General features: G+C 37.1%; 1 protein-coding gene across 3 annotated transcripts in view, besides 1 other annotated feature; it reads left to right on the top strand.

Annotated features, from left to right (window-relative positions):
* Window positions 1–27923, top strand: part of DNAJC1 (DnaJ heat shock protein family (Hsp40) member C1) — a 247183-nt gene that overhangs the window by 137487 nt on the left and 81773 nt on the right. Inside the window, exon 10 of one of the 3 annotated variants that reach the window (XM_047425628.1) lies at window positions 581–976. The exons of the other annotated variants lie outside the window; for them this stretch is intronic. The gene's annotated coding sequence lies outside the window, so the exon portion shown is untranslated. Of the gene's footprint in view, window positions 1–580; window positions 977–27923 lie in introns of those variants that run through there. 3 annotated transcript variants of the gene reach the window in all.
* Window positions 16337–16537: a silencer, noted in NCBI's record as "peak901 fragment used in MPRA reporter construct". NCBI's record gives its function as "represses an SCP1 promoter by STARR-seq MPRAs in K562 erythroleukemia cells {active_cell/tissue: K562}" and the evidence as "EXISTENCE:reporter gene assay evidence [ECO:0000049][PMID:32103011]".

Below are 27923 nucleotides of genomic sequence, written 5' to 3'. Positions count from 1 at the left end.
CATTGTTATGTAATAAAACTACTTTAGATCTGTCATATTACTGTTTGGGTTTTTTATTTTTTTGCTTTTGTACCTCTTGTCTATGTACTTTTTTTTTTTTTTTTTTTTTGAGTTGAAGTCTCACTCTCTCGCCCAGGCTGGAATGCAGTGGTGTGATCTCAGCTCACTGCAACCTCCACCTCCCAGGTTCAAGCAGTTCTCCTGCCTCATTCTCTCGAGTAGCTGAGACTACAGGCATGCGCCACCACACCCAGCTAATTTTTGTATTTTTAGTAGAGATGAGGTTTCACCATGTTGGCCAGGCTGGTCTCCAACTCCTGACCTCAGGTGATCCATCCACCTTGGCTTCCCAAAGTGTTGGAATTACAGGTGTGAGCCAGCATGCCTGGCCCAGGACTAATTTTTAATATTCCATTTGTACTTCATGTTCTAAGTTTTTTTTCTCACTTAAGTCTTTTGTATTGATTAATTTACTGTACTCCATGTCCCCTTTTTAACAGCTTTATTATTGATATACCAATGATATAAAAATAAACTAGACATATTTAAAGTGTACCATTTCATGCTCTTTGACATACAGATATACCTGTGAACCCGTTGTCAGAATCAAGATATTGAACATGTAGATTTTCCTCACAAGTGTCTTTACAACCCTTTGTAATTTATCATACTCATCCTTCACCTATCTTCAGGCAACCAGTGATCTGCTTTCTATTATCATGGATTAGTTTTCTTGCTCTGCATATTATGTATAATCATACAGTGTAAATTCTATTTTGTCTGACTTCTTTCACTAAGCATAAGTCTGAAATTTATTCATGTTTGTTCATGTATCAGTGGCTTGCCTTTTTTTGTGCTAAGTAATATTCTATTGTATGAGTATATTAAAGTTTTTTAATTCATTCACTATTTCATGGACATTTGAGTTGTTTCTAGTTTTTTGACCATCATTAATAAATCTGCTATGAAGATTCAAGTGCAAGTCAAGTTTTTGTGTGGACATATGCTTTCATTTTTCTGGAGTAAATGCCTTGTGGGAGAATGACTAGAACCTGTGATAGGTATAGTTTAACCATTTAAGAAACTGCCAGTCTATTTTCTAGAGTAGCTGTTGATTTTTACATTCCCACCAGCAGTGTGTGAGAAGTGCAATTGCTCCACATCCTGGCCTACACTTTTTATCATCACCCTCTTTAATTTTAGTCATTCTAGTGGATGTGTAGGAGTACGTCGTTGTGATTCTGATTTTCAGCTCCCTAAAGATTAATAATGCCGAGCATCTTTTCATGTGTTTTCCATTTGAATATCATGTTTTATGAAATGTCCATTCAGCACTGTTGCCCACTTTGTCTTATTGCTCAGTTTAAGAGTTTGTTATATAAATCAGATAGACGTGCTGTGTTCCTGTATGTTTTGCAGATACGTTCTCCCATCATTTGGCCTGCTTTTTATTTTAGTAAAAGTATCATTTGAAGAGTAAAGTTTTTAATCTGTATGTTCAATTTTTTTCTTTTATACTTCTTTTTATATGTCATAATTAGGAAATCTTTGCCAAACTCAAAGTCGCTAAGATTTTCTTCTGTTTCTTTCTAGAAGTTTTTGTTTGTTTGTTTGTTTGTTTTTAGACAGAGTCTCACTCTGTCGCCCAGGCTGGAGTGCAGTGGCGTGATATCGGTTCACTGCAACCTCCACCCCCCGGGTTCAAGCAATTCTCCTGCCTCAGCCTGCCGAGTAGCTGGGACTACAGGCGCATGCCACCACGCTCGGCTAGTTTTTTGTATTTTTTAGTAGAGACAGGGTTTCCCTGCATTAGCCAGGATGGTCTCAATCTCCTGACCTCGTGATCCACCTGCCTTGGCCTCCCAGGGTGCTGGGATTACAGGCATGAGCCACTGCACCTGGCCTCTAGAAGTTTTATAGTTTTATCTTATATTTAGGTTTCTGATCTATTTAAAGTTATCTTTTTTGCAAATAGGTGAGGTAAGGGTCAAAGTTTATAGTTTTTTGTTTCCTTCTTTTTGAGACAGGGTCTCACTGGGTCACTGAGGCTGGAGTGCAGTGGCACGATCTTGCTTCACTGCAATCTCTGCCTCCTGGCTCAAATGATCCTGCCGCCTTAAGTAAGCCTCCCACCTGAGCCTCTTGAGTAGCTGGGACTACAGGCACACGGCACCATGCCTAGCTAATTTTTGTACATATTTTAAATAGAGACAGGGTTTTGCCATGTTCCTTAGGCTGGTCTTCAATTCCTGGGCTCAAGTGATCCACCCGCCTTGGCCTCCTAACTTCCTTGGGATTAAAGGCCTGAGCCACCTCACCTGGCCATTTTGTCTTATTCTTGATCTTGAAAGCATTCAGTCTTTTACCACCAATTATGTTAGGTGCAGGCTTTTAACAGATGCCCTTAATCTAGGTGAGGAAAGTTACTTCTATTTCTAGTCTGCTGAGAGTATTTATCATGAATAGATCTTTTTTTCTGCATCTAATAGCATGATTGTGTGGTCTTTTTCTTTTATCTGTTAATATAGTGAATTCTACTGGTTTATTTTAAAATCCTAAACCAGACTTGAATTCCTGGAATAAACTTCATTTGGTCATTATGTATTAGCCTTCTTATATATTGTGGATTTAGTCTGCAAATTTTCTTTTCAGTTTATGTCTGTGTACATATTGGTCTATAATTTAGTTTTATTTTAATATTTTTGTCTATTTTTTTTATGTCCAGTGACAGTGATATTGACCTTATAGAACACATTGGGAAATGTTCCCTCCTCTGTGTAGAATTTCATCTATTTCTTCTTATGGGAGTTTTGATGGTTTGTGCATTTGAAGAGGTCTGACCATTTCATCTAACTTGTTGAGTGTGCTGGCATGAATTGTTTCTAATAGTTCCTTATTTTAACTTCTATAGAATTTATATTGATGTCTCCTCTCTTATTTCTAATATTACTATTTTGTTTCTTCTCTGTTTTAGCCTCTCTTGAGCTACATCAGCTTTTGGTTTCATTTATTTTTCTCTGTTTTTTTCAGTTTTGTGTGTCATTGATTTCTGCTCTTACATACCTGTCTTCTACTTAGTCTGGGTTTTTTGTTTGTTTGTTTGTTTTTTCTGAGACGGAGTTTCACTCTTGTTGCCCAGGCTGGAGTGCAATGGCGCGATCTCGGCACACTGCAACCTCCGCCTCCCGGGTTCAAGCGATTCTCCTGCGTCAGCCTCCTGAGTAGCTGGGATTACAGGCATGCGCCACCATGCCTTGCTAATTTTGTATTTTTAGTATAGATGGGATTACTCCATGTTGGTCAGGCTGGTCTCGAACTCCCAACCTCAGGTAATCCGCCTACCTTGGCCTCCCAAAGTACCGGGATTACAGGCGTGAGCCACCTCGCCTAGCCTTGGTCTTCCTTTTCTAATTTCTTAAGGTGGAAGATTAGGTTGATTTGAGAACTTCCTTCTTTTTCTAAGTGTTAATGCTTTAAATTTCCTCTGAGCATTGGTTTCTTTAAATATAGTTTATGACCGGGCACAGTGGCTCATGCATGTAATCCCAGCCCTTTGGGAGGCTGAGGCAGTTGGATCACCTGAGATCAGGCGTTCGAGACCAGCCTGGCCAACATAGCGAAACCCTGTCTCTACTCAAAATACAAAAATTAGCCAGGCGTGGGGGCATGCACCTGTAATCTCAGCTACTTGGGAGGCTGAGGCAGGAGAATTGCTTGAACTCGGGAGGCAGAGGTTGTAGTCAGCCAAGATCACACGACTGCACTCCAGCCTGGGTGACAAAGTGAGGCTCAGTCTCAAAAAAAAAAAAAAAAAAATGTAGTAACAGATGGTATTTTACAGAAATCTTTCTGACACTGCCTCCTGTTTGCATATGGTTTTTAGTCTTATTATTATTTAGGTGTTACTATCACAGGAAAGAGGTCCAGATCCTAGACCCCAAGAGAGTGTTCTTGAATCTCACACAACAAAGAATTCAGGGTGAGTCCACAGTGCAAAGTAAAAGCAAGTTTATTAAGAAAGTGAAGGGCTGGGTGCGGTGGCTCACGCCTGTAATCCCAGCACTTTGGGAGGCTGAGGCAGGCGGATCACCTGAGGTTGGGAGTTCGAGACCAGCCTAAACAACAAGGAGAAACCCCGTCTCTACTAAAAATACAAAATTAGCCGGGCGTGGTGGTGCATGCCTGTAATCCTAGCTACTCGGGAGGCAGAGGCAGGAGGATTGCCTGAACCTGGGAGGTGGAGGTTGTGGTGAGCCAAGATTGCGCCATTGCACTCTAGCCTGGGCAACAAGAGGGAAACTCCATCTCAAAATAAATAAATAAATAAATAAAAAATAAAGAAAGTGAAGGGATGAAAGAATGACTACTCCAGATCGAGCAGCCCCAAGGGCTGCTGGTTGCTCATTTTTATGGTTATTTCTTGATGATATGCTAAACAAGGGGTGGATTATTCATGCCTCCTCTTTCTAGACCATCCGGGGTAACTTCCTGACGTTACCATGGCATTTGTAAACTGTCATGGTGCTGGTGGGAGTGTAGCAGTGAGGACCACCAGAGGTCACTCGTGTCTCCATCTTGGTTTTGGTGGGTTTTGGCCGGCGGCTTTACTGCAACCTGTTTTATCAACAAGGTCTTTATGACCTGTATCTTGTGCCAACCTCCTTCCTGTCTCATCCTGTGACTTAGAATGCCTTAACTGTCTGGGAATGCAGCCCAGTAGGTCTCAGCCTCATTTTATCCAGCCCCTACTCAAGATGGAGTTGCTGTGGTTCAAACACCTCTGACATTACTGTTTTTGAAATTTGAGGTAAGCGTTAAATTCATTTATATATAATATTAATACTGACATTTGGGGGTTAAGTCTATTAGGATTTGCTGTTTATCCTTCTTGTTTCAAATTTGTTCCTGTGTCCTCTTTTGCTTTCTTTTGGATTAATATTTAATATTTTGTTTCTCCTTTCTATGAAATTGATGCAGTTCTATACTCTTTTCATTTTATTTTTACTGGATAATTTACCACAGGCTTGTTTGAATTTCTTTGCCTTTTTCCAGAAAATGCAATGGGCTTAGAATCTTTACCTCATCTGTCTTCCTCCTGCCTTTTGTGTTAGGAGCTAATTTTATCTCCTCAAAATTCATGTTGAAGTCCTGACCCCCATTACCTTAGAATGTGACCTTATTTGGAAATAGGATCTTTGCAGATGTAATTAAATGAGGTCATACTGGAGTTTTTATCTGTAGAACTGTGTGATTAAGCAGCATTTGCTCTCCTGGGTTCCTTTGTTTCAAAGCCTGTATTCTCTTTCTCATTGAATTTGTATCTGTGGTTTCTGTGGTTGAACTTACCATAGAAATGTGCACACATTAGACTCTCAGTAAGTACTTGTTAAGTTAATCAAGCACCCAATTAGTCATGGTGACCTCTGCTGAGAGAGCATAATCTTGGGAAGAGTGGGAGACAAGATCCTGGTCTCTAAAGGTTGGGAGACTTGAATTCTAGGTACGTTTTGTTTGTTTGTTTGTTTGTTTGTTTGTTTGTTTGTTTGTTTTGAGACAGAGTCTCACAATGTCTCCCAGGCTGGAGTGCAGTGGTGCGATCTCAGCTCACTGCAACCTCCGCCTTCTGGGTTCAAGTGATTCTCCTGCCTCAGCCTCCCAAGTAGCTGAGGTTACAGGTGCGCACCACCATGCCTGGCTAATTTTCTGTATTTTTTAGTAGAGACGGGGTTTCACTATTTTTGGTCAGGCTGGTCTCGAACTCCTGACCTCACGATCTGCCTGCTTTAGCCTCCCAAAGTGCTGGGATTACAGGCATGAGCCACCGCGTCCATCCTGAATTCTAGTTTTAACATCACCATTTATTATCTTTATGATCTGAGTTTTAGTTTTCTTATCATTTAGTATCTTATAAAAGTATGAAATTATCTCCTCTTTCTATTTTAGAGATAAGAGAATATGTGGTAAAAAACATTTTATAAACTCAAAAACCCTGAAACATGAAGTTTTCCTCTTATTCTTGCCTTGTTTTGGATCTGCTGTCATTTTCAAAGTTTGCTTAAGGTTTTTTTTTTTTTTTCTCCTTTTCATTAGTATAAACCAAAGTGAAGATAAATGTATGTCCTAGTTACCCTCTCTGCTGTTTGCATTAAGAAGTTGACTCTGGCCGGGCACGGTAGCTCATGCCTGTAATCCTAGCACTTTGGGAGGCCGAAGGGGTGGATCACTTGAGGTCAGGAGTTTGAGACCAGCCTGGCCAACATTGCGAAACCCCATCTCTACTAAAAATACAAAAATTAGCCAGATGTGGTTGCACATGCCTGTAATCCCAGCTACTGAGGAGGCTGAGGCAGGAGAATCGCTTGAACCCGGGAGGTGGAAGTTGCAGTGAGCTGAGATCGTGCCACTGTACTCCAGCCTGGGTGACAAAGCCAGACTCCGTCTCAAAAAAAAAAAAGTTGACTTTTTCTCCAAGAGTTTATCTGTTAGTTTCCCTGACTAGTTTTTGTTTTGTCCAGTATTTATAATCTAAAAGATCTCACAAAGTATTGATGTAAAATGTCATGGCAGTGAATGACCATAGACAGAGCTAGTATGTCTGTGTATAACCCCTCTGTCTATGTAACCCCTATGTCTATGTAACCCCTATGTCTATGTAACCCCTATGTCTATGTCTATAGGGGTTTTACCATAGAATACCAGAAAAATACCATAGTAGAAAACTGTTGATTTTTACTGATGATTTCATATCAAATAGGGGAAATATAAAATGTTCATCATTATTTTCATCATTCTTAACATCTTTTGAGTGTCAGATACTGTCCTGTGTGCTCATGGAGTGGCTCATTTAACTTCACAAGAATCTTAGGTAATAGTATTTTCTTCATTTTACATAGGAGTTTGAATATCGGGGACATTGTGCTGTGTTTAATTTAGTCATATGCAATAGCCACTTTTTAGGGCAAAAACATTCAAATGTCAAGAATCTTTCATGGCTCAATCGGCATTAGTAAGTTAGGCATTAAGCTATTCCCTTAAGAAGGAACTTCTTAACCTTCTTAAGTTCTTGGAAGAGTCAAACGTAGGTAAATTCTCCAGAATTTGCCAGGGCTTTCATCAGTGACAGTGCCTACAACACTTGATAGGAATAAATGAAATATGACAAATATCCAAGTAGTGGGAGGATTAGATGAAATTTTAAAAATTATAACTGATGATTTTTAACTGCCTGACATTTTATGAGTTAAGTTGGTGATATACTTTTTTTACAATTTCCAAAACAATGTAGTTAAATATTTTAAATCTAGTAAGCAGATATCAAACAATATTTTGTGGAAACAATCATTCAAATTTGTGAGTAATGGGAGTAAAGTTCTGATTTCATCAGGTAAGCCAAAACAAATAATTTTCCACCATAAATATTATAACAAATAAACTCTTTTAAAATAAAATATTTTCTTCCTTTTCCTCCCTGGTGACCTAGTGGTAATGTTCTGCAGTGTTTTATGTAGGAGACCTGGATTTCATTCCTGTTCTCGTTATCTCTCTCCCTAGGGCTGCAATGAATTAAATAAGAAATAAAATCACTATCCTGCATCCTTATTGCCATGGGCTGTGCCCTTGTCAGATTTCATAAGCTAAACTAGCTGGACCTGGTTAGTATTGGGTTGGAAGACCTCAAAGAAAACAAAGTCTGTGAAAACACAGATCTTCTATACAGCCAGTATTTTCTTCCATGAAACCTTGTCTTACGGTTATTATTGCACTTTCCTCTTTACTATTTGATTGATTTGCTTGCTCCAGGTAAAAAGAAAGGTCTTTTAAAGTAAATGGCATTCTGGTCGTTTAAATCAATGCACTTATTATTTATTTTTCCTTTTCAAAATAGAAAACTTGTTTAGTTTGAAAGATACTTGGTTATATTCTTGAGAAGGCAGTATCCCAACTAGCAGTGTTTTTTACTGTATAAAAATTTACTTTCTCAGAGACTTTTTATTTTATTCATTGCTATAAAATGCCTGTTCTGTTTCTTTTTGTTTTGAGAGATAATGTTGCCCTTACTTTACGAATGATGTAACACATAAAAAAATTTTTAATGCATATAACTGTGTGAAGATCCAAAATTGTTTTTGTGTTCCCTTTAAAACCTAGGTTATATATCTCTGAATTTTAAATTATAATTTAGGATAATCTCAAATACCAATACTTTTAATTAGATAGCTGTGGTTATATATGTATAATAGACAACAAATATAATTCAGTAAGAATTGCACTAATGTTTGTTGACATTCATCTTTTTTACACAAATAGACCCAGTTTACCCAAAGTTGTTTCTCCCAGAACGCACACAAACATACCCGGTTTTTTTTTTTGTTTGTTTGTTTGTTTTTTTGAGACGGAGCCTTGCTCTGTTGCCAGGCTGGAGTGCAGTGGCACAATCTCAGCTCACTGCAATCTCCACCTCCCAGGTACAAGCAGTTTTCCTGCCTCAGCCTCCCGAGTAGCTGGGACTACAGGCATGTACCACCATGCCCAGATAATTTTTGTATTTTTAATAGAGACGGGGTTTCACCAACAAACATACCTTTTATAAATACTGATGGTATGGATACATATACACACATCCCCTAATATTCCCTAACATGCTGATTTCCTTCTTCTCTCTCTCCCTTTTTTTCTTCCTATCTTCCTACAAAGGAACACTTTTTTTCTAATGACATTTTACATAGAACCCCAGTATATTAAAGAATGATACAAAAAATTTCTCTGGTTAATGCCAAAATGAGGGAGGCTAAAGTCTTGTCATCTCAGCTTCTTCCTCACTCCATGAGGTGTAGAACCTTGGAAAAGCCCTAAAATTCCAAGAAACATGTCTTCCCTGCTTAGTTTCACATTTATCTATATACACAAAAATTTAGTGGTTTTGGAAGAGTTTTCTGTTCCTGTTTAAAAGGGTTAGCACTAAGAGTATGGTCCTGAAAAGTATTCAACAAGGACTTTTAATGGTTCTTACTCTACTCTTATGCCAAACCCTCTTCATTTCCAAGTAAAATGGCCCCCAAACCAAAATTAAGCCATCAAAGTCATAGCAGTCAGTTAAAGATAAATGGCATATCCTTCTTTATTAATAAGGATAGTTGTTAATTGTATTATGGAGTATTCCAGAATTGATCCACTTTATAATCTAGTACCATTTAAGATAATATTTTTCGGCTGGACATGGTGGCATGTGCCTGTAATCCTAGCACTTTGGGAGGCCAAGGTGGGTGGATCACCTGAGATCAGGAGTTCGAGACCAGCCTGATCTGCATGGTGAAACCCCATCTCTACTAAAAATACAAAAATTAGCCAGGTGTGGTGGTGCGCACCTGTGGTCCCAGCTACTCGGAGGCTGAGGCAGGAGAATCGCTTGAACTCCGGAGGCAGAGGTGGCAGTGAGCCGAGATAGCGCCATTGCACTCCAGCCTGGGTGAGAAGAGTGAGACTCTGTCTCAAAAAAAAAAAATTTTTTTTTCTATGTGTCATTAGTGATTTTTTTAAAGGGTAGTTTTCCAACTATCTTGCAGTGTAACCAATTTTAAACCAGCCCTCTTTATCAAAATTCTAGAATATACCATGAGTGTGTTGGTAAATTTTTTTTAATTGGTTCTTAGGAGGAAAAAAAGCCTTGATTTGTGACAGTTGCCAGTTTTAATGGTGTTAATTTCTCCCACCGTGGCTGATTTCAAGCTATCAACGTGAAACACCGAAAGTGGAATTGGAAGTAGATGCATAGTAGTAGATTACCATTATATAGTATTTCCACCATGCAGCTACAATAGATATAAATATCCTCAAAGACATACACAACAATAGATGTAAATATCCTCAAAGACATACACAATAATAAAATGTAGTAAAATAGGAAGTGATGAATTTTGAGTCATTATTACTTTTTTGTATAATTTAATTATGTTTACATAATTTAATTTTTAATGATGCATATATTTAACTGGCTTATAGAATTTCTGAAAATAGTAGTTGCAGTCATGAGCTGGTATGAGTAGACTTCAGCATACTACTGTTCCTTGGGAAAATTTGGTTTCTTTACCTTTCAAAACAAAACCCTTTAGAGATAATATCTACCTTCAGGAGAATGTATAAAATTCCCACTCTAAGTCTAATTCAACCATCCCTCAGTCTCTGTAACTATCTCTAATATTGTTCATTATAAATAGTTATGTAGATTATTTTGCTGTATCTAGAGAATATTTAGAGGAATAAACACCAACCTATTTTCTGCTTTTCGTCAGGTTATTCTGTCTGTCTTATGAAGTCATCTGTTATATTATTCTGTAGTCCCTTAATCTCGTTGCTTCCTGTTAACTTGCCTAGCAAAATGACTTGAAACCTATCAAAATGAACATCTTCCCTATGTCTTAACAACACAACCAAAAAAAAGGCGGGCAGGGTGGCGGTGGGGTAGGGGTGGGGGTGGCGGAGCACTGATTACGTTGAAGTGTTGGTGAGACTCTTTTTGCTAGATCTTCAGCTACCTAAACGGTTTTATTGTTAAGAACAGAGTTTTCTTTTTTAAGCTTCTAAATGTAATTAGTTTGATAACAGCTGAAGTCTCCAGTGGTAAGTCTCAATCTGTTACCCTAGCAGTCACCTATTTGTATTCATCATTGATAATATCAACTTGCTACTGAATATTTTCACCATTCATTAGTTTACTCTTTAATAAAAATTGTTTTTTATCACATACATTGTCTAAAACAGTTTTATTTTTTTCAAAAATCTGAGCTTTGCCTATTAGAAAATCATATATGTTATTGATTTGGCCTTTTGAATTAAAGATATTTATCACATAAGTAAAGTATCAAGATAAAAAGAATAACTTTCTCTAAACCTTGTCTCTAACTGTTGCAGAATGGATGAAAGAAAAGACACCCTAATGAATGAATTATTATATGGCACTATTAAAAATACACTTCAGAGTTCTTTTGATCATCGTGACAGAAAAGGGCCAGTGATTTGAGAGCTCAAAAAAATGGGCTGTTTATTCACTGTTTATGTGTTTTGTATTCTTGCTTTATTAAAATCCTATTTTAACTCCGTCAGTATTGATTAAATGCCTATATTTTTTAAGATTCTATTAGAGGTAGAACTTTTTAACAATGCAATACAAAAAAAGTCAGATCTTAACTAGATGATTTTCTAGAAGAATTAATGGAACTATGGTTAAAGTAGATTTTTATCAGCATGTCTCATTCACTTACTAATACTCTCTAATGTTATCTTTAGTTTCGTAATATCGAAGACTGTATTTCACAGATGGCTGAGAAACTTTACAACCATTCTCTTGTGATGGCCATTTGACTTTAATTTTTTAGTTATAAATTTATTTTCTTAGAAATTTTCTACAATAAAAACAGTTTACAATCAATTTTTAAAACGCCAAGATAATATTGATAATTAAGTCTTTAAAGTAGGTCTTTTGTTAAACCTAATTATAAGTGTATCTTATAATTAATGGCTGCTGTCATACCACCTGCTCTCTTCTGCCTTGAATCTTATCACATCTATGTTGCTTTGAAATCTGAGAATGCTTTTCACTTCCTAACAACTGATATGCTACTTCTTCCAATCAGACATCACATTACTGATTAGGTGAATACTACTTCCTGTTTGTTTGTTTTTTTTCCTGTATCTCTAAATGCACCACTTCTGTCTTAGGAATATGACATTATGTAAAACAGATACTTAAATTAATTAGATTTTATTTTTGTAGAGGTAAGGAAATTATAGAAAAGACAAGTTATAGTGTATTAAATGCTTTCCAAAAGTAAAAGTTTGATAATATTTAAAATACAACTATACCTATGGAGAAACAGTTTTTTTTTTTTTTTTTTTTAAAGATCCACATTTGTATCTGATAGTCCTTTTATAATGTAAGGTTTTTTCACCATATTGTATAGTATAGGATTTAGTTTTTGTATTTTATGTTGTTTTCCCTGCATCCAGCCTTATTAATATAAATAACTACCTTTTAGGAAGAATTGAGATATAATTCTTATATTATAATTACCTGGTGACTTATATTTCTCTTCTCTTCTACTATAAACAACCTGATGGTTGAGTTCATGGCCTTTTTATCTTTGTATCCACTGTAGTGTCTATAGGGTAAATGTAATTAAATTGAGTTGGTGAATTAGACTGATGCCACTAATTTGTTTCACTTAATCACTCAATGTCTATTACATGTTCTTATCCTTTATGTGTTGATCTTTCAAAGGACAATCTTATTTCCGTCATTTTAAACTTCTGGGAGTATCTTCCCATATTCACAACTAGGAATAACAGGGGTGGCAGAGCTAACTTGATAAGTTTTGACACTGGATTAGATTCAAATGGATGAACCAGAAAAGCAGTTTCCCCAGTGATAGTCTTTTTTTTTTTTTTTTTTTTTTTTTTTTTGAGATGGAGTCTCATTCTGTCGCCCAGGCTGGAGTGTGCAATCTCGGCTTACTGCAACCACTGCCTCCTGGGTTCAAGCAATTCTCCTGCCTCAGCCTCCTGATGAGCTAGGATTACAGGTGTGCACCACCACGCCCAGCTAATTTTTATATTTTTAGGAGAGACAGGGTTTCACCATGTTGGCCAGGCTGTCAGTGACAGTTTTTAAGTAGAGATATTCTGGTACAACAATATGGTTAGTATTGAGGAAATAACTTTTTTTACCGAAATAAAAGGTCAGGGAGGCCAAAGTGTGCTCCTGAATGCTAATTTTTATTCATTTTTAGTGTGTATCAGACTACTTCCATAAACGTGGTCAGTTTACTCTCTCCCAGGGTTAATCTACATGTTAAGTAAAATTAAATGCAAAAGACCCTTTATCAATATATAGTACCATGAAAGACTCACTTTCTCATGAACTAACAATACTCAAAGTACAGAGAGTGAATTCTTGGAAGAAACACATGTGGCGCAAAGACACAAAGCCAAGACATTTCAACAGTATATTCCAAATAAGATATAGCAGGCCAGAATGACTTCTGGAACATGGCAGGAGTAGAATATGAGATAAAGCTGGAAAGAAAGGTAGGTAACAAAATGTAGAAGTTTTTGAATGCCAAGATAAGAAGTTTAGATTATTTTATGTAGTAGGGAATCTTTGGATTTTTAGCTGGAAGGAATGGGGTATTGACATGCTCTGTTTTGTAAAGGTGAAAGTAGCAGCAGTAGACTGAAACTGTGGAGTGAGAGTGGAAAGGAAAGATATTTTATAATTGATGCAGAAATAAAATTCAGACTTGCTGAAAATCATAGCTAACTAGTAAATGGTGGAGTCAGAACTCAAATGATCTGACTCCAAAACCACTACAATATCCACCCTCCACAATATAAGCATATTATAATCATTTGTGTGTGTATCTTTATTAGGAGAGCAAACCATATCTTTTCATTTATGTCCTGTTTCTTAGCATAGTACCTAAAAAAAAAAAAAGTGGGTACTTCGTTAGTTCAATCAATAAATATTTATTGAGCACCTAACCAAGCATTATGCTTGGTATGCATATGGTTTACGTCTGGTAAATGTTGCCAGTCTTCCCAAGTAATTGTAACCAATTTATACATCCACCAGTTAGTTCATGAGGATTTCTGTTGCTCCACACCCTGACAACACTTGATATTGTATGTCTTTTTTCATTTTAGCTTTTCTGGTGGATCTCACAATGAGGTATGATTTTATTGTTGCTATAAGAGTTTTTAAAAATTGAGGTGAAATCCATATAACATAAAATTAACCTTTTAAAATGAACAATTCAGTAGCATTTAGGACATTCACAGTGTTGTCCAACCACCACCTCTGTCTAGCTCCAAAACATGATATCACCTCAAAAGGAAACTGTACCCATTGAGCAATTGCTTCTCATTGCCCACCTCCACCAGCCCGTGACAACCACCAGTCTGCATTTTGTCTCTATGAATTTACCTGTTCTGAATATTTCATTTAAAGGAACTCATACAGTATGTGACCTTTTGTTTCTGCCTCCTTTCTCTTAGCATATTTTGATGGTCATCCACTTTGTAGCTAGTATCAATCTTTTTATGGCTGAATAATATTCCGTGTGTGTGTGTGTGTGTGTGTGTGTGTGTGTGTGTGTGTGTATCTCACAATTTTTTATTTTTTTTATTTTTTATTTTTTTTGAGACAGAGTCTCACTCTGTCGCTCAGGCTGGAGTGCAGCGGCGTGATCTCGGCTCACTGCAAGCTCCGCCTCCCGGGTTCACACCATTCTCCTGCCTCAGCCTTCCGAGTAGCTGGGACTACAGGCGCCCGCCACCAGGCCAGCTAATTTTTTGTATTTTTAGTAGAGATGGGGTTTCACTGTGTTAGCCAGGATGGTATCGATCTCCTGCCCTAGTGATCCACCCGTCTCGGCCTCCCAAAGTGCTGGGATTACAGGCATGAACCACTGCGCCCGGCCGTATCTTACAATTTGTTTATCCATTCATCCATTGATAAATGTTTGGGCTGTTTCTACCTTTTACGTATTGTAAATGATGGTGCTACAAATGTGTGTATGGTTATTTGAGTTTATGTTTTCAATTGCTTTGGGTATATACCTGATTGGAATTGCTAGGTGATGATGGTAATTTTATGTTTAACTTTTTGATGTACCATCAACCTGTTTTCCACTGCAGCCGAACCATTTTACATTCTCACTAGCAATATACGAGGATTCCATTTTCTCCATATTCTCACCTTCACTTGTTATTTTTCACTTTTGTTGTGGTTGTGATTGTTATAGCCACCCTAGGGTGTGCAGTGATATCTCACTATCTCACTTTGGTTTTGATTTGCATTCCCCTAGTGAGTAATGATGTTGAGAATCTTTTCACATGTTTTTTGGCCATTTGTTGTGTAGCTTCTTTGAATAAATGCCCTTTTTTGAATTGGGTTGTCTTTTTGTTGTTGAGTTTGTTATAATTCTGCATACTAGGTGCTTATCAGATATACGAATTGTAAATATTTTCTCTCATCCTGTAGGAGTTTTTTCATTTTCATAATAATGTTCTTTCATGCACAAAAGTTTTTAATTTTGATGAAGTCCAATTGATTGACTTCTATTTTTGTTGTTTGGACTAAGAATGCATTGTCAAATCCAAGAGCGTGAATTTTACCCCTATGCTTTCTTCTATGAATTTTATGGTTTTTCTTATTATATTTAGGTTGTTGATTCATTTTGCATTAATTTTTATTTGTGGTGTGAGTTATGGGTCCTGCTTCATTCTGTATGTATAGTCTCAGGACTATTTGTTGAAGAGACTGTTTCTATCTCCATTAAATGGACTTGTCACCTGTGTCAAAAACCATTTGATCATATATGCAAGGTTTATTTCTGGCCTCTCTATTCTTTTCTCTTGTTCTATGTGTCTGTCTTCATGCCAGTACCACAATATTTTGATTACAATAGCTTTGTAGTAAAATTTCAAATCAGGAAGTGTGAATTCTCCAGCCTTTGTTCTTTTTCCAAGTTCATTTTGGCTATTTAGGGTTCCTTGAGATTTTAATTAATTTTAGCATGGAATTTTTTGTTTCTGCAAAACATGTCATTGGGATTTTGTTGGGTATTGCATTGATGTGCATAGATGTGCATAGTAGTCACATCTTAACAATATTGTCTCCCTTGTGCTAGGAAGCACTAAGTAAAAAAAAAAAAAAAGAAAAGAAAATTTAAATATTAAGTATTCCAATACATGAACATGGGATGTCGTTCCATTTATTTCTGTCTCCTTTAATCTCTTTCAGCAGTGTTTTGTAATTTTCTGTATACAAGTCCTTCACCTCCTTAGTTAAATTTATTCCTAAGTATTTTATTCTGTTTCATGCTGTTGTAAATGGAATTGTTTTCTTAGTTTTCTTGTTTATATTGTCCATTGTTAGTGTCTAGAAACCCAACTGCGTTTTATGTATTGATTTTTGTACCTATAATGTTACTGAATTTGTTAATTCTACTAGTTTTTTTTGTAGGGTCTTCAGAGTTTTCTACATATCAGATGATATCTGTGAACGGAGATAATTTTACTTTTTCCTTCCAATTCAGATGTCCATTATTTCTCTTTCTTACACAGTTGCCCTGGCTAGAACTTCCAGTACTATGTTTAAACAGAAGTGGCTAAAGTGGGCATCCTTATCTTGTTCCTGATCTCAACGGGAAAGTTTTTAGTCTTTTACCATTGAGTATGATGTTAGCTATGGTTTCTCCACAAATGACCTCTATTATGTTGAGGTAGTTTCCTTCTATTCCTACTTTATTGGGTGTTTTAATTAGGAAAGGGTGTTGAATTTTGTCAAATGTTTTTCTGCATCAATTGAGATGATCATGTGTGGTTTTTTTTTCCCTTTTATCTATTAATGTGATGTATTACATTGAATGATTTTCTCATGTTGAACCAACCTTGCATTCCTGGGATAAACCTCACTTCATCTTAGTGTATAATTGTTTTCATACACTTTTCGATTTGGGTTGCTAATATTTTTTTGATGATTTTTGTATCAATATCTATAAACAATATTGGTCTATAGTTTCTTTTCTCATGCTGTCTTTGTCAGACTTGGAAATCAGTGTAATACTGGCATCATAAAATGTGTTAGCAAATGTTCCCTTCTCTTCAGATTTTTTAAGATTTTGAAAAGGACTGAGTTATTTGCATCTCCCCTCTTTTTTTCCCCCTGTCAGTATTGGCTTGTCAGTTTTGTCTTTTTAAAAAAATGACATTTTGTTTCATTGATTCTATTATTTATCTGTTCTCTATTTCATTTTTATTATTTCCTTCCTTTTGCTAGCTTTGGTCTCTGATCTCCTTTTTCTACTTCCTTCAGGAATAAAGTCTAAATTATTAATTTGAAATACTTCTTATCAGTGTAGGCATTTACTTTTTTTTTTTTTTTTTTTTTTTTTTTGAGGCGGAGTCCCACTCTGTCACCCAGCCTGGAGTGCAGTGGCACGATCTCGGCTCACTGCAACCTCTGACTTCTGGGTTCAAATGATTCTCTTGCCTCAGCCTCCTGAGTAGCTGGGATTACAGGTGCGTGCCACCATGCCTGGCTAATTTTTTTTGTATTTTTAGTAGAAACAGGGTTTTGTCATGTTGGCCAGATTGGTCTTGAACTCCTGACATCAGGTGATCCACCTGCCTCAGCCTCCCAAAGTACTGGGATTACAGGCTTGAGCCACTGTGCCTGGCTGGCATTTACTATTATAAGATTACCTTCAAACACTGCTTTCACTGTATTCATACATTTTGGTATGCTTTATTATTATTTTAATTTGTTTCTGAGTGTTTTCAAATTTCCCTTTTGATTTTTCTTGTACTCATTGGTTAAGAGTGTTTTAATATCCACATGCTTTGAGTTTTCTCGTTTTTCTTCTGTTGCTGATTTCTATCTTCATTTCTTGTGATTACAGAAGATACTTTGTGTGATTTGAGCAATTTAAAATTTATTGACACTTGTTTTGTGGCTTGATACATGTTTTATCCTGGAGAATGTTCCATGTGCACTGGAGAAGAATGTGTATTCTGCTGTTATTGGATGGATTGTTCTGTAGATGTCTGTTAGATCTATTTGGTTTATAATGTTATTCAAATCCTCTGGTTCCCTATTTATCTTCTTTCTAGATGTTCTATCCATATTGAAAGTGGGGTTATATTGGGGAAATACTTCAGGACATTGGTCTGGGCAAAGATTTTTTTAGGGGTAAGACCTCAAAAGCACAGAATACAAAAGCAAAAATAGACAAAAAGGATTGCAACAAGCTAAAAATGTTCTGCACAACAAAGGAAGCAACAAAGAGACAGCCTATGGAATGGAGGAAAATATTTGCAAACTATTCATCTGACAAGGGATTAATAACTAGAATATATAAGAAACTCAACTCAATAGCAAATAATCTGATTTTAAAATGAGCAAATGATCTTAATAGACATTTTTCGAAAGAAGGCATAGAAATGGCCAACAAGTATATGAAAATAAATGCTTAGTATCACTAATCATCAGGGAAATGCAAATCAAAACCAAAATGAGATATAATCTGACCCCAGTTAAAGTGACTGTTATCAAAAAGACAAAACAACAAGTGTTGGCAAGGATGTAGAGAAAGGGAAACACTAATAGTTCACTGTTGGTGAGAAAGTGAGTATAACTGCTATGGAAAACAGTATGGACATTCTTCAAGAAACTACAAATAGATCTACCATCCGATTTAGCAATCCATTTGCTGGGTATGTATCCAAAAGAAAGGAAACCAGGGTATCAAAGTGATACCTGCATGCCCATTTTTGTTGCACCACTATTCACAATAGCCAAGATAACAAAATCAACCTAAGTGTCCATTAGGATATGAATGGATAAAGAAAATGGTGTGTTTGTCCATATATATATGGACACACACTCAATGGAATATCATTCAACCATGAAAAAAGAATGAAATTCTGTTAGTAGCAGCAACATAGATGGAACTAGAGGACGTTATGTTAATTTTAATAAGCCATGCACAAGAAGATAACTATTGTAAGTTCTCACTCATATGTGACAGCTGAAAAACTTGATCTCACAGAGGTAGAAAGTAGAATGATAGTTACTAGAGGCTGACAAAGGTAGGAGGGAGGGATGATGAAGAGAGGCTGGTTAGCGGTTGCAAAAATACAGTTAGAAAGAATAAGTTCTAGTGTTTGATGGCATGGTAGAGTGACCATAGTTAACAGTAATTTGTTGTATATTTCAAAACAGCTAGAAGATAAGATTTGGAATATTCCCAACCCAAAGAAATGATAAATTTTTCAAGTGATGGATATCCTAATTACCCTGATTTAATATATGTATGCATGCATCAAAATATCACATGTGCCCCATAAATATGTCCAATTATTATATATCAATTTTAAAAGAAGAAAATTGGGAGAAAGTAAATGATATTTTGGAGTCACAAAAATTGCTGAATCCTAACTGTGTGACATTTTTATGACTACTTTGCTGGTTCTTTCCTAGAGGCACACAGTTTGGAAGTGACAATGCTTATAACACACTATGAATGTAAAAGTAAAATAATGCATAGATGCAAAGTGACACCTAAGGGAAAAGAAATTACACTTGAGCTGAACATTGAGGAATAAGAGCTAAACAGCTAGAAAAGGGGAAGGGACCTAGGAGTAATACATATTTATTTCTAGTAACTGTATTATGTGAAAAATGTTTATCTCTTTATCATAGAAGCTTCCTATCTATTTGTCCTTGACACCTTCAAGCAGGATTCTTAGTTATCACCTCTCCTATCTAAGCCAGAACTGAAAACGGAGTTTAAAAAAAAAAAAAAAAAGTCATTATCCATTTGTCTTTCATCTTTGATATGGAAATGTTTATTTTTGAAATACAAACGAGACAACACCAGTTTCATTATTTTGTGTTGTAAAATGGAGATAATAGTAGGTTGTTGGGAAGATTAAATCTGTTAATGTAAAACACTTTGATACTTGGGATATAGTGTTTAATCCTAACCTCATTTTGGCTGGCTTTTAAATTTTCTGTCTTCCATCTCGCTAATACTCTTTGTAACATATATATTTAATTTGCTTTTATACCTATCTGCTGAATATTATATTTCAATTTTAAAAAGTTTTAATGGTAGAGGCTCTACTTGGTACTTTATCAAATCCTTTTGGTAAATATTTATATTTTTCTAATACCTCTGCATATGTGGATATTTTCATGCTGGTCTTTTATTTCTTTAAACATAGTAACACCTTATCCACAGATGCATTTAGCCACAGGGATGGTCCAGATACCTGGTCAACCATATTGAGGAAACTTTAAACCTTTGGTTTTTTTTTGCCATATTAAATGATTTTTGGCAGAGCCCAAAATTGTTTTCTAAGGGAGTTCCAATAAAGTAGCAGGTATCTACCTTCAGAATTAAAAGAGGATGATAGTAATAGCGGTTAATGTTTGTTTATTATTTATTACATGACAGGCATTGTGCTTGAACTCCTTCAGTTCACAGACATTGTACGCAAACTACCTCAATTAAGCCTTACATCAACTATGTGAGATAACATTATTATTATTTCCCATTTACTGATGCGTTAACATGAGGAGGTTTATTTGACCCCAGTACTTTTAATCATTATACCAGTCTACCTTTAATTGGATCATGGCTGTTGCATTATAGATCTTTCATAACTAAATTTGGTTCAACTATGGATATTCTACTTAGCAATTACAATTTAATCTAGAGGTGGTTAAGGAAATCTGAAGCTGAAATGGTTCTTTTTTCAAAAGTTTCTTAATTCAAATAGGTAAAATTTAATATAGACTCATTTAATGTACTTCTTCCTGGGGGCATATTACCAAGAATATATTTACCTTTTCATATTGTTGTATATTTTATGTACATGCTTGATTATCTTACTATCAGATTACCAGAGTGTTTTTTTAATAATTATTTTCTGCATTAAAACAATTGCCTTGGAGCATTTCACAATAAAAAAATAATTGAATTAATACTTTATACTTCTAAGTGCCACCAGTTAGTTTTAGAGCCCAGTTTAAAAATTAATGTCCTAGGCAGGGCACAGTGGCTCATGTCTGTAATCCCAGCACTTTGGGAGGCCGAGGTCAAGATTTCGAGACCAGCCTGGCCAACATGGTGAAACCCTGTCTCTATTAAAAATACAAACATTAGCCGGGCATGGTGGCACACACCTATAGTCCCAGCTACTCGGGAGGCTAAGGCAGGAGAATAGGTTGAACCCTGGAGGCGGAGGTTGCAGTGAGCCGAGATCACACCACTGTGCTCCAGCCTGGGCAACAGAACAAGACCCAGTCTCAAAAAAAAAAAAAAAAGTTCTAATTTTTATGTAGTTTATGCAGACATAGTTAGGAATTTTAGTGTACCATTTATTAACTACTTAAAAGTGACTTTTTTTCCCCTCCAGCTTGCTTGATGGAAGATCAGAATCTATGCAATGGCACACGAGACAAACAAATTTGCAGTTTATCATCTTGTCACTAGTGCTACTTGAAAGGACAAACAGAAGCCCCCAAAATACAGTGTATTATCTAGGAAGGCTTTTACGGTTATAGCTACGTAACTACCAAACCCAGACAATCTCTCCACCGTAGGGAAATTTAAAAATCTGTGTGTACACATATAAATTTTTTGAGACAGAGTCTCATACTCTGTCACCCAGGCTGGAGTGCATTGGCATGATCTAGGCTCACTGCAGCCAAGCAGTGGCACCTCCTGTGCACAAGCAGTCCTCCTGCTCCAGCCTCCTGGGTAGCTTGGGCTACAGGTAGGCACCACCATGCCTAATTTTTAAAATTTTTTTGCAGAGACAGGGTCTCTTATGTTGCCAAGGCTGGTATTGAGCTCACGTTCAATTGATCCTCCCACCTTGGCCTCCCAAAGTGTTGGGATTGCAGGCGTGAGTCACTGTGCACAGCCAAAAATCTATTTTTTTAAAAAAACAGCCATTTTTCCTCTTAAATGATAGTATCTTTAATACCTATTCTAATGGGGTGGTGGTGGGGTAGACTATTGTGGATGTATTAGTAAACTAAACAAACTGAGTTGAAAATCAACATATGTTTCAAAATGATTAATAGGATCAAAAATGCAAAGTTGAATAATAGTTTTTAATTGCAGTATAGTCTCTTTACTGGTGTGTCTCTGCCCGAAACTTTTTAGCTTGCCATTATTCTCTATGTACTTCTAAAAATCTTAATATTCATGTCTCCTTACATAACTCAAGACTGCACAGATGAAGTACTGTCCAATGACAGTAAGATTGGGCCAGGCACAGTGGCTCATGCCTGTAATCCCAACATTTTGGGAGCCTGAGGTGGGTGGATCACTTGAGGCCAGGATTCGAGACCAGCCTGGGCAACGTTGTGAAACCCAACCTGTACTAAAAATACAAAAAAAAAAAATTAGCCAGGTGTGGTGGCGCACAGCTGTAATCCCAGCTACTCGGGAGACTGAGTATATTGGTCCATTTTCATGCTGCTAATAAAGACATAATCGAGAATGGATAATTTATAAAGGAAAGAGGTTTAATTGACTTACAGTTCCACTTGGCTGGGGAGGTCTCATAATCATGGTGGAAGGCAAAAGAGAAGCAAAGACACATCTTACATGGCAGCAGGCAAGAGAGCTTGTGCTGAGGAACTCCCATTTATAAAACCATCAGATCTTGTAAGACTTACTCACTACCATGAGAACAGTATGGGGGAAACTCCCCCTGTGATTCAGTTATCTCCACCTCACCCTGCCCTTGACAGGTGGGGATTATTACAATTCAAGGTGAGATTTGTGTGAGGACACAGCCAAACCATATCACTGAGGCACAAGAATTGCATGAACCCAGGAGCCTGAGGTGGCAGGGAGCTGAGATCACACCACTGCACTTCAGCCTGGATGACAGAGTGAGACTTCCTCTTAAAAAAAAAAAAAAAGATTGTAAAATCATTTCTGAATTTTGAGGTCATTAAGAAAATCTCTAAGTAGGCCAGGCACAGTGGCTCACGCCTGTTATCCCAGCACTTTGGGAGGCTGAGGCAGTGGATCACGAGGTCAGGAGATTGAGACCATCCTGGCTAACACGGTAAAACCTGGTCTCTACTAAAAATACAAAAAATTAGCTGGGCATGGTGGCACGTGCCTGTACTCCCAGCCACTTGGGAGGCTGAGGCAGGATAATCACTTGAACCCAGTAGGCAGAGGTTACAGTGAGCTGAGATTGTGCCACTGCACTCCAGCCTGGGCGACAGAGTGAGACTCTGTCTCAAAAAAAAAAAAAAAAAAAGGGAAACCTCTAAGTAAATGTACTAATTAAATCTGGGATTTTGATTATTAGAAGTCAGCACTGCATTCTTTGATTTGAATTTAAAAATTAGCTCTTTACCTAAAAGCTGGGACTTCACAGAGATTACAAAGTTAGCTAAATAAATGTTTTGGATCATTTTACTAATATATACATGTATGTGACGAAAAATAGAATTAAGCTTATTCCAATAATCATACATACTTCCTCTAATTCCAACTTAAATTTCAATTCATGAGACATTTTTCCTCAATTCCAAATAATATTTGTTTTCAAGGATTTTATACCTCTGATGCTGGCTTTTTGCTTAATATATGCACACCATCCTAGGTATTCAATATCGATACTCTTTTCATCCACAAGCATACTTTTCGCTGCTTTTTATTTATTCAACTAATAAGAAATCTGTTGACTACTATGTATAAGGTACTGAACTAAGCACAGGGGATACATTTGAGAACATAATGACCCCTGCTCTCATGAAGTTTATATTATCACTAGAGAGATAGTAGATTTTACTGTTCCTAATTTTTGAGATTATGTATATCCCTTATCAGAACATTCATTGATAGTTTTTGATAATTAGACTATTAATTTTATTAGAGACCATCCTTAATTATGGGAAGGCAGAGGTGGAATTTTCTCACAAACTGTACTCCGTCATCCTCTGTTCATCCTCCATATTTACTCCTGCCAGTTCATTTGTGCCTCATTTCATTTCATTCTATCCTGAGGACTTCTCAATTTACATCTTTAAAACCTCTTGCCTATTCTTTATAGCTATCTACAGGACCTTGCCATAAGATGGCGTTCAGTGTACCTGAAATTCAACATAGGTAAAACTGAACTTAATTCTCCCAACTTTCTCATATCTGTACTTGTAACTTATTCTGACAATACCATAGACTCAGAATTATATACGCTTTTTAAAAAACTTCTTGTTTTACAAGTCCAGTTTATCCTGGCCCTACCTCTCTGTGTTTTCATCTCTTCCTTGGAAATCCCTCAGTGCTACCATCCTAGTCCAATCTCTTATTATCTCATGCCTGCTAATACTTTCTTCGCTATTATCCTGTCAGTTCATCCTATTTGCTTCTCTCACATGAGGTTTTTTTTTTTTAATTCTTATTATACTTTAAGTTTTAGGGTACATGTGCACAACATGCAGTTTCGTTACATATGTATACATGTGCCATGTTGGTGTGCTGCACCCATTAACTCATCATTTAGCATTAGGTATATCTCCTAATACTGTCCCTCCCCCCTCCCCCCACCCCACAACAGTCCCAGGTGTGTGATGTTCCCCTTCCTGTGTCCATGTGTTCTCATTGTTCAGTTCCCACCTATGAGTGAGAACATGCGTTGTTTGGTTTTTTGTCCTTGCAATACTTTGCTGAGAATGATGGTTTCCAGTTTCATCCATGTCCCTACAAAGGACATGAACTCATCATTTTTTATGGCTGCATAGTATTCCATGGTGTATATATGCCACATTTTCTTCATCCAGTCTATCATTGTTGGATATTTAGGTTGGTTCCAAGTCTTTGCTATTGTGAACAGTGCCGCTATAAACATACGTGTGTCTTTATAGCAGCATGGTTTATAATCCTTTGGGTATATACCCAGTAATGGGATGGCTGGGTCAAATGGTATTTCTAGTTCTAGATCCCTGAGGAATCGCCACACTGACTTCCACAATGGTTGAACTAGTTTACAGTCCCACCAACAGTGTAAAAATGTTCCTATTACTCCACATCCTCTCCAGCACCTGTTGTTTCCTGACTTTTTAATGATCGCCATTCTAACTGGTGTGAGATGGTATCTCATTGTGGTTTTGATTTGCATTTCTCTGATGGCCAGTGATGGTGAGCATTTTTTCATGTGTTTTTTGGCTGCATAAATATCTTCTTTTGAGAAGTGTCTGTTCATATCCTTCGCCCACTTGTTGATGGGGGTTGTTTGTTTTTTTCTTGTAAATTTGTTTGAGTTCATTGTAGATTCTGGATATTAGCTCTTTGTCAGATGAGTAGGTTGCAAAAATTTTCTCCCATTCTGTAGGCTGCCTGTTCACTGATGGTAGTTTCTTTTGCTGTGCAGAAGCTCTTAGGTTTAATTAGATCCATTTGTCAATTTTGCCTTTTGTTGCCATTGCTTTTGGTTGTTTTAGACATGAAGTCCCTGCCCATGCCTATGTCCTGAATGGTATTGCCTAGGTTTTCTTCTAGGGTTTTTATGGTTTTAGGTCTAACATTTAAATCTTTAATCCATCTTGAATTAATGTTTGTATAAGGTGTAAGGAAGGGATCCAGTTTCAGCTTTCTACATATGGCTAGCCAGTTTTCCCAGCACCATTTGTTAAATAGGGAGTCCTTTCCCCATTGCTTGTTTTTGTCAGGTTTGTCAAAGATCAGATAGTTGTAGATATGCGGCATTATTTCTGAGGGCTCTGTTCTGCTCCTTTGGTCTATATCTCTGTTTTGGTACCAGTACCATGCTGTTTTGGTTACTGTAACCTTGTAGTATAGTTTGAAGTCAGGTAGTGTGATGCCTCCAGCTTTGTTCTTTGGCTTAGGATTGACTTGGCGATGCAGGCTCTTTTTTGGTTCCATACGAACTTTAAAGTAGTTTTTTTCCAGTTCTGTGAAGAAAGTCATTGGTAGCTTGATGGGGATGGCACTGAATCTATAAATTACCTTGGGCAGTATGGCCATTTTCACGATATTGATTCTTCCTACCCATGAGCATGGAATGTTGTTCCATTTGTTTGTATCCTCTTTTATTTCGTTGAGCAGTGGTTTGTAGTTCTCCTTGAAGAAGTCCTTCACATCCCTTGTAAGTTGGATTCCTAGGTATTTTATTCTCTTTGAAGCAATTGTGAATGGGATTTCACTCATGATTTGGCTCTGTGTTTGTCTGTTATTGGTGTATAAGAATGCTTGTGATTTTTGTACATTGATTTTGTATCCTGAGACTTTGCTGAAGTTGCTTATCAGCTTGAGGAGATTTTGGGCCGAGACGATGGGGTTTTCTAGATATACAATCATGTCGTCTGCAAACAGGGACAATTTGACTTCCTCTTTTCCTAACTGAATACCCTTTATTTCCTTCTCCTGCCTGATTGCCCTGGCCAGAGCTTCCAGCACTATGTTGACTAGGAGTGGTGAGAGAGGGCATCCCTGTCTTGTGCCAGTTTTCAAAGGGAATGCTTCCAGTTTTTGCCCATTCGGTATGATATTGGCTGTGAGTTTGTCATAGATAGCTCTTATTATTTTGAGATGCGTCCCATCAATACCTAATTTATTGAGAGTTTTTAGCATGAAGCGTTGTTGAATTTTGTCAAAGGCCTTTTCTGCATCTATTGAGATAATCATGTGGTTTTTGTCTTTGGTTCTGTTTATATGTTGGATTACATTTATTGATTTGCGTATGTTGAACCAGCCTTGCATCCCAGGGATGAAGCCCACTTAATCATGGTGGATAAGCTTTTTGATGTGCTGCTGGATTTGGTTTGCCAGTATGTTACTGAGGATTTTTGCATCGATGTTCATCAAGGATATTGGTCTAAAATTCTCTTTTTTTGTTGTGTCTCTGCCAGGCTTTGGTATCAGGATGATGCTGGCCTCATAAAATGAGTTAGGGAGGATTCCCTCTTTTTCTATTGATTGGAATAGTTTCAGAAGGAATGGTACCAGCTCCTCCTTGTACCTCTGGTAGAATTCGGCTGTGAATCCATCTAGTCCTGGGCTTTTTTTGGTTGGTAAGCTATTGATTATTGCCTCAATTTCAGAGCCTGTTATTGGTCTATTCAGAGATTCGACTTCTTCCTGGTTTAGTCTTGGGAGGATGTAGGTGTCAAGGAATTTATCCATTTCTTCTAGATTTTCTAGTTTATTTGCGTAGAGGTGTTTATAGTATTCTCTGATGGTAGTTTGTATTTCTGTGGGATCAGTGGTGATATCCCCTTTATCATTTTTTATTGCATCTATTTGATTCTTCTGTCTTTTCTTCTTAATTAGTCTTGTTAGTGGTCTATCAATTTTGCTGATCTTTTCAACAAACCAGCTCCTGGATTCATTAATTTTTTAAAGGATTTTTTGTGTCTCTATTTCCTTCAGTTCTGCTCTGATCTTAGCTATTTCTTGCCTTCTGTTAGCTTTTGAATGTGTTTGCTCTTGCTTTTCTAGTTCTTTTAATTGTGATGTTAGGGTGTCAATTTTAGATCTTTCCTGCTTTCTCTTGTGGACATTTAGTGCTAGAAATTTCCCTCTACACACTGCTTTGAATGTGTCCCAGAGATTCTGGTATGTTGAGTCTTTGTTCTCATTGGTTTCAAAGAACACCTTTATTTCTGCCTTCCTTTCTTTATTTACCCAGTAGTCATTCAGGAGCAGGTTGTTCAGTTTCCATGTAGTTGAGCGGTTTTGAGTGAGTTTCTTAATCCCGAGTTCTAGTTTGATTGCACTGTGGTCTGAGAGACAGTTTGTTATAATTTCTTTTCTTTTACATTTGCTGAAGAGTGCTTTACTTCCAACTGTGTGGTCAGTTTTGGAGTAGGTGTGTTGTGGTGCTGAAAAGAATGTATATTCTGTTGATTTGGGGTGGAGAGTTCTGTAGATGTCTGTTAGGTCTGCTTGTTGAAGAGCTGAGTTCAATTCCTGGGTATCCTTGTTAACTTTCTGTCTCGTTGATCTGTCTAATGTTGACAGTGGGGTGCTAAAGTCTCCCATTATTATTTTTTTTTCTTTTTTAGTATTTATTGATCATTCTTGGGTGTTTCTCATGGAGGGGGATTTGGCAGGGTCATAGGACAATAGTGGAGGGAAGGTCAGCAGATAAACAAGTGAACAAGGGTCTCTGGTTTTCCTAGGCAGAGGACCCTGCAGCCTTCTGCAGTGTTTGTGTCCCTGGGTACTTGAGATTACGGAGTGGTGATGACTCTTAAGGAGCATGCTGCCTTCAAGCATCTGTTTAACAAAGCACATCTTGCACCGCCCTTAATCCATTTAACCCTGAGTGGACACAGCACATGTTTCAGAGAGCACGGGGTTGGGGGT

The sequence above is a fragment of the Homo sapiens genome, chromosome 10, assembly GCF_000001405.40.
Source record: "Homo sapiens chromosome 10, GRCh38.p14 Primary Assembly".
In the NCBI taxonomy this organism is placed as follows: Eukaryota; Metazoa; Chordata; class Mammalia; order Primates; family Hominidae; genus Homo; species Homo sapiens.
This window is presented reverse-complemented; position numbering and strand designations above follow the sequence as displayed.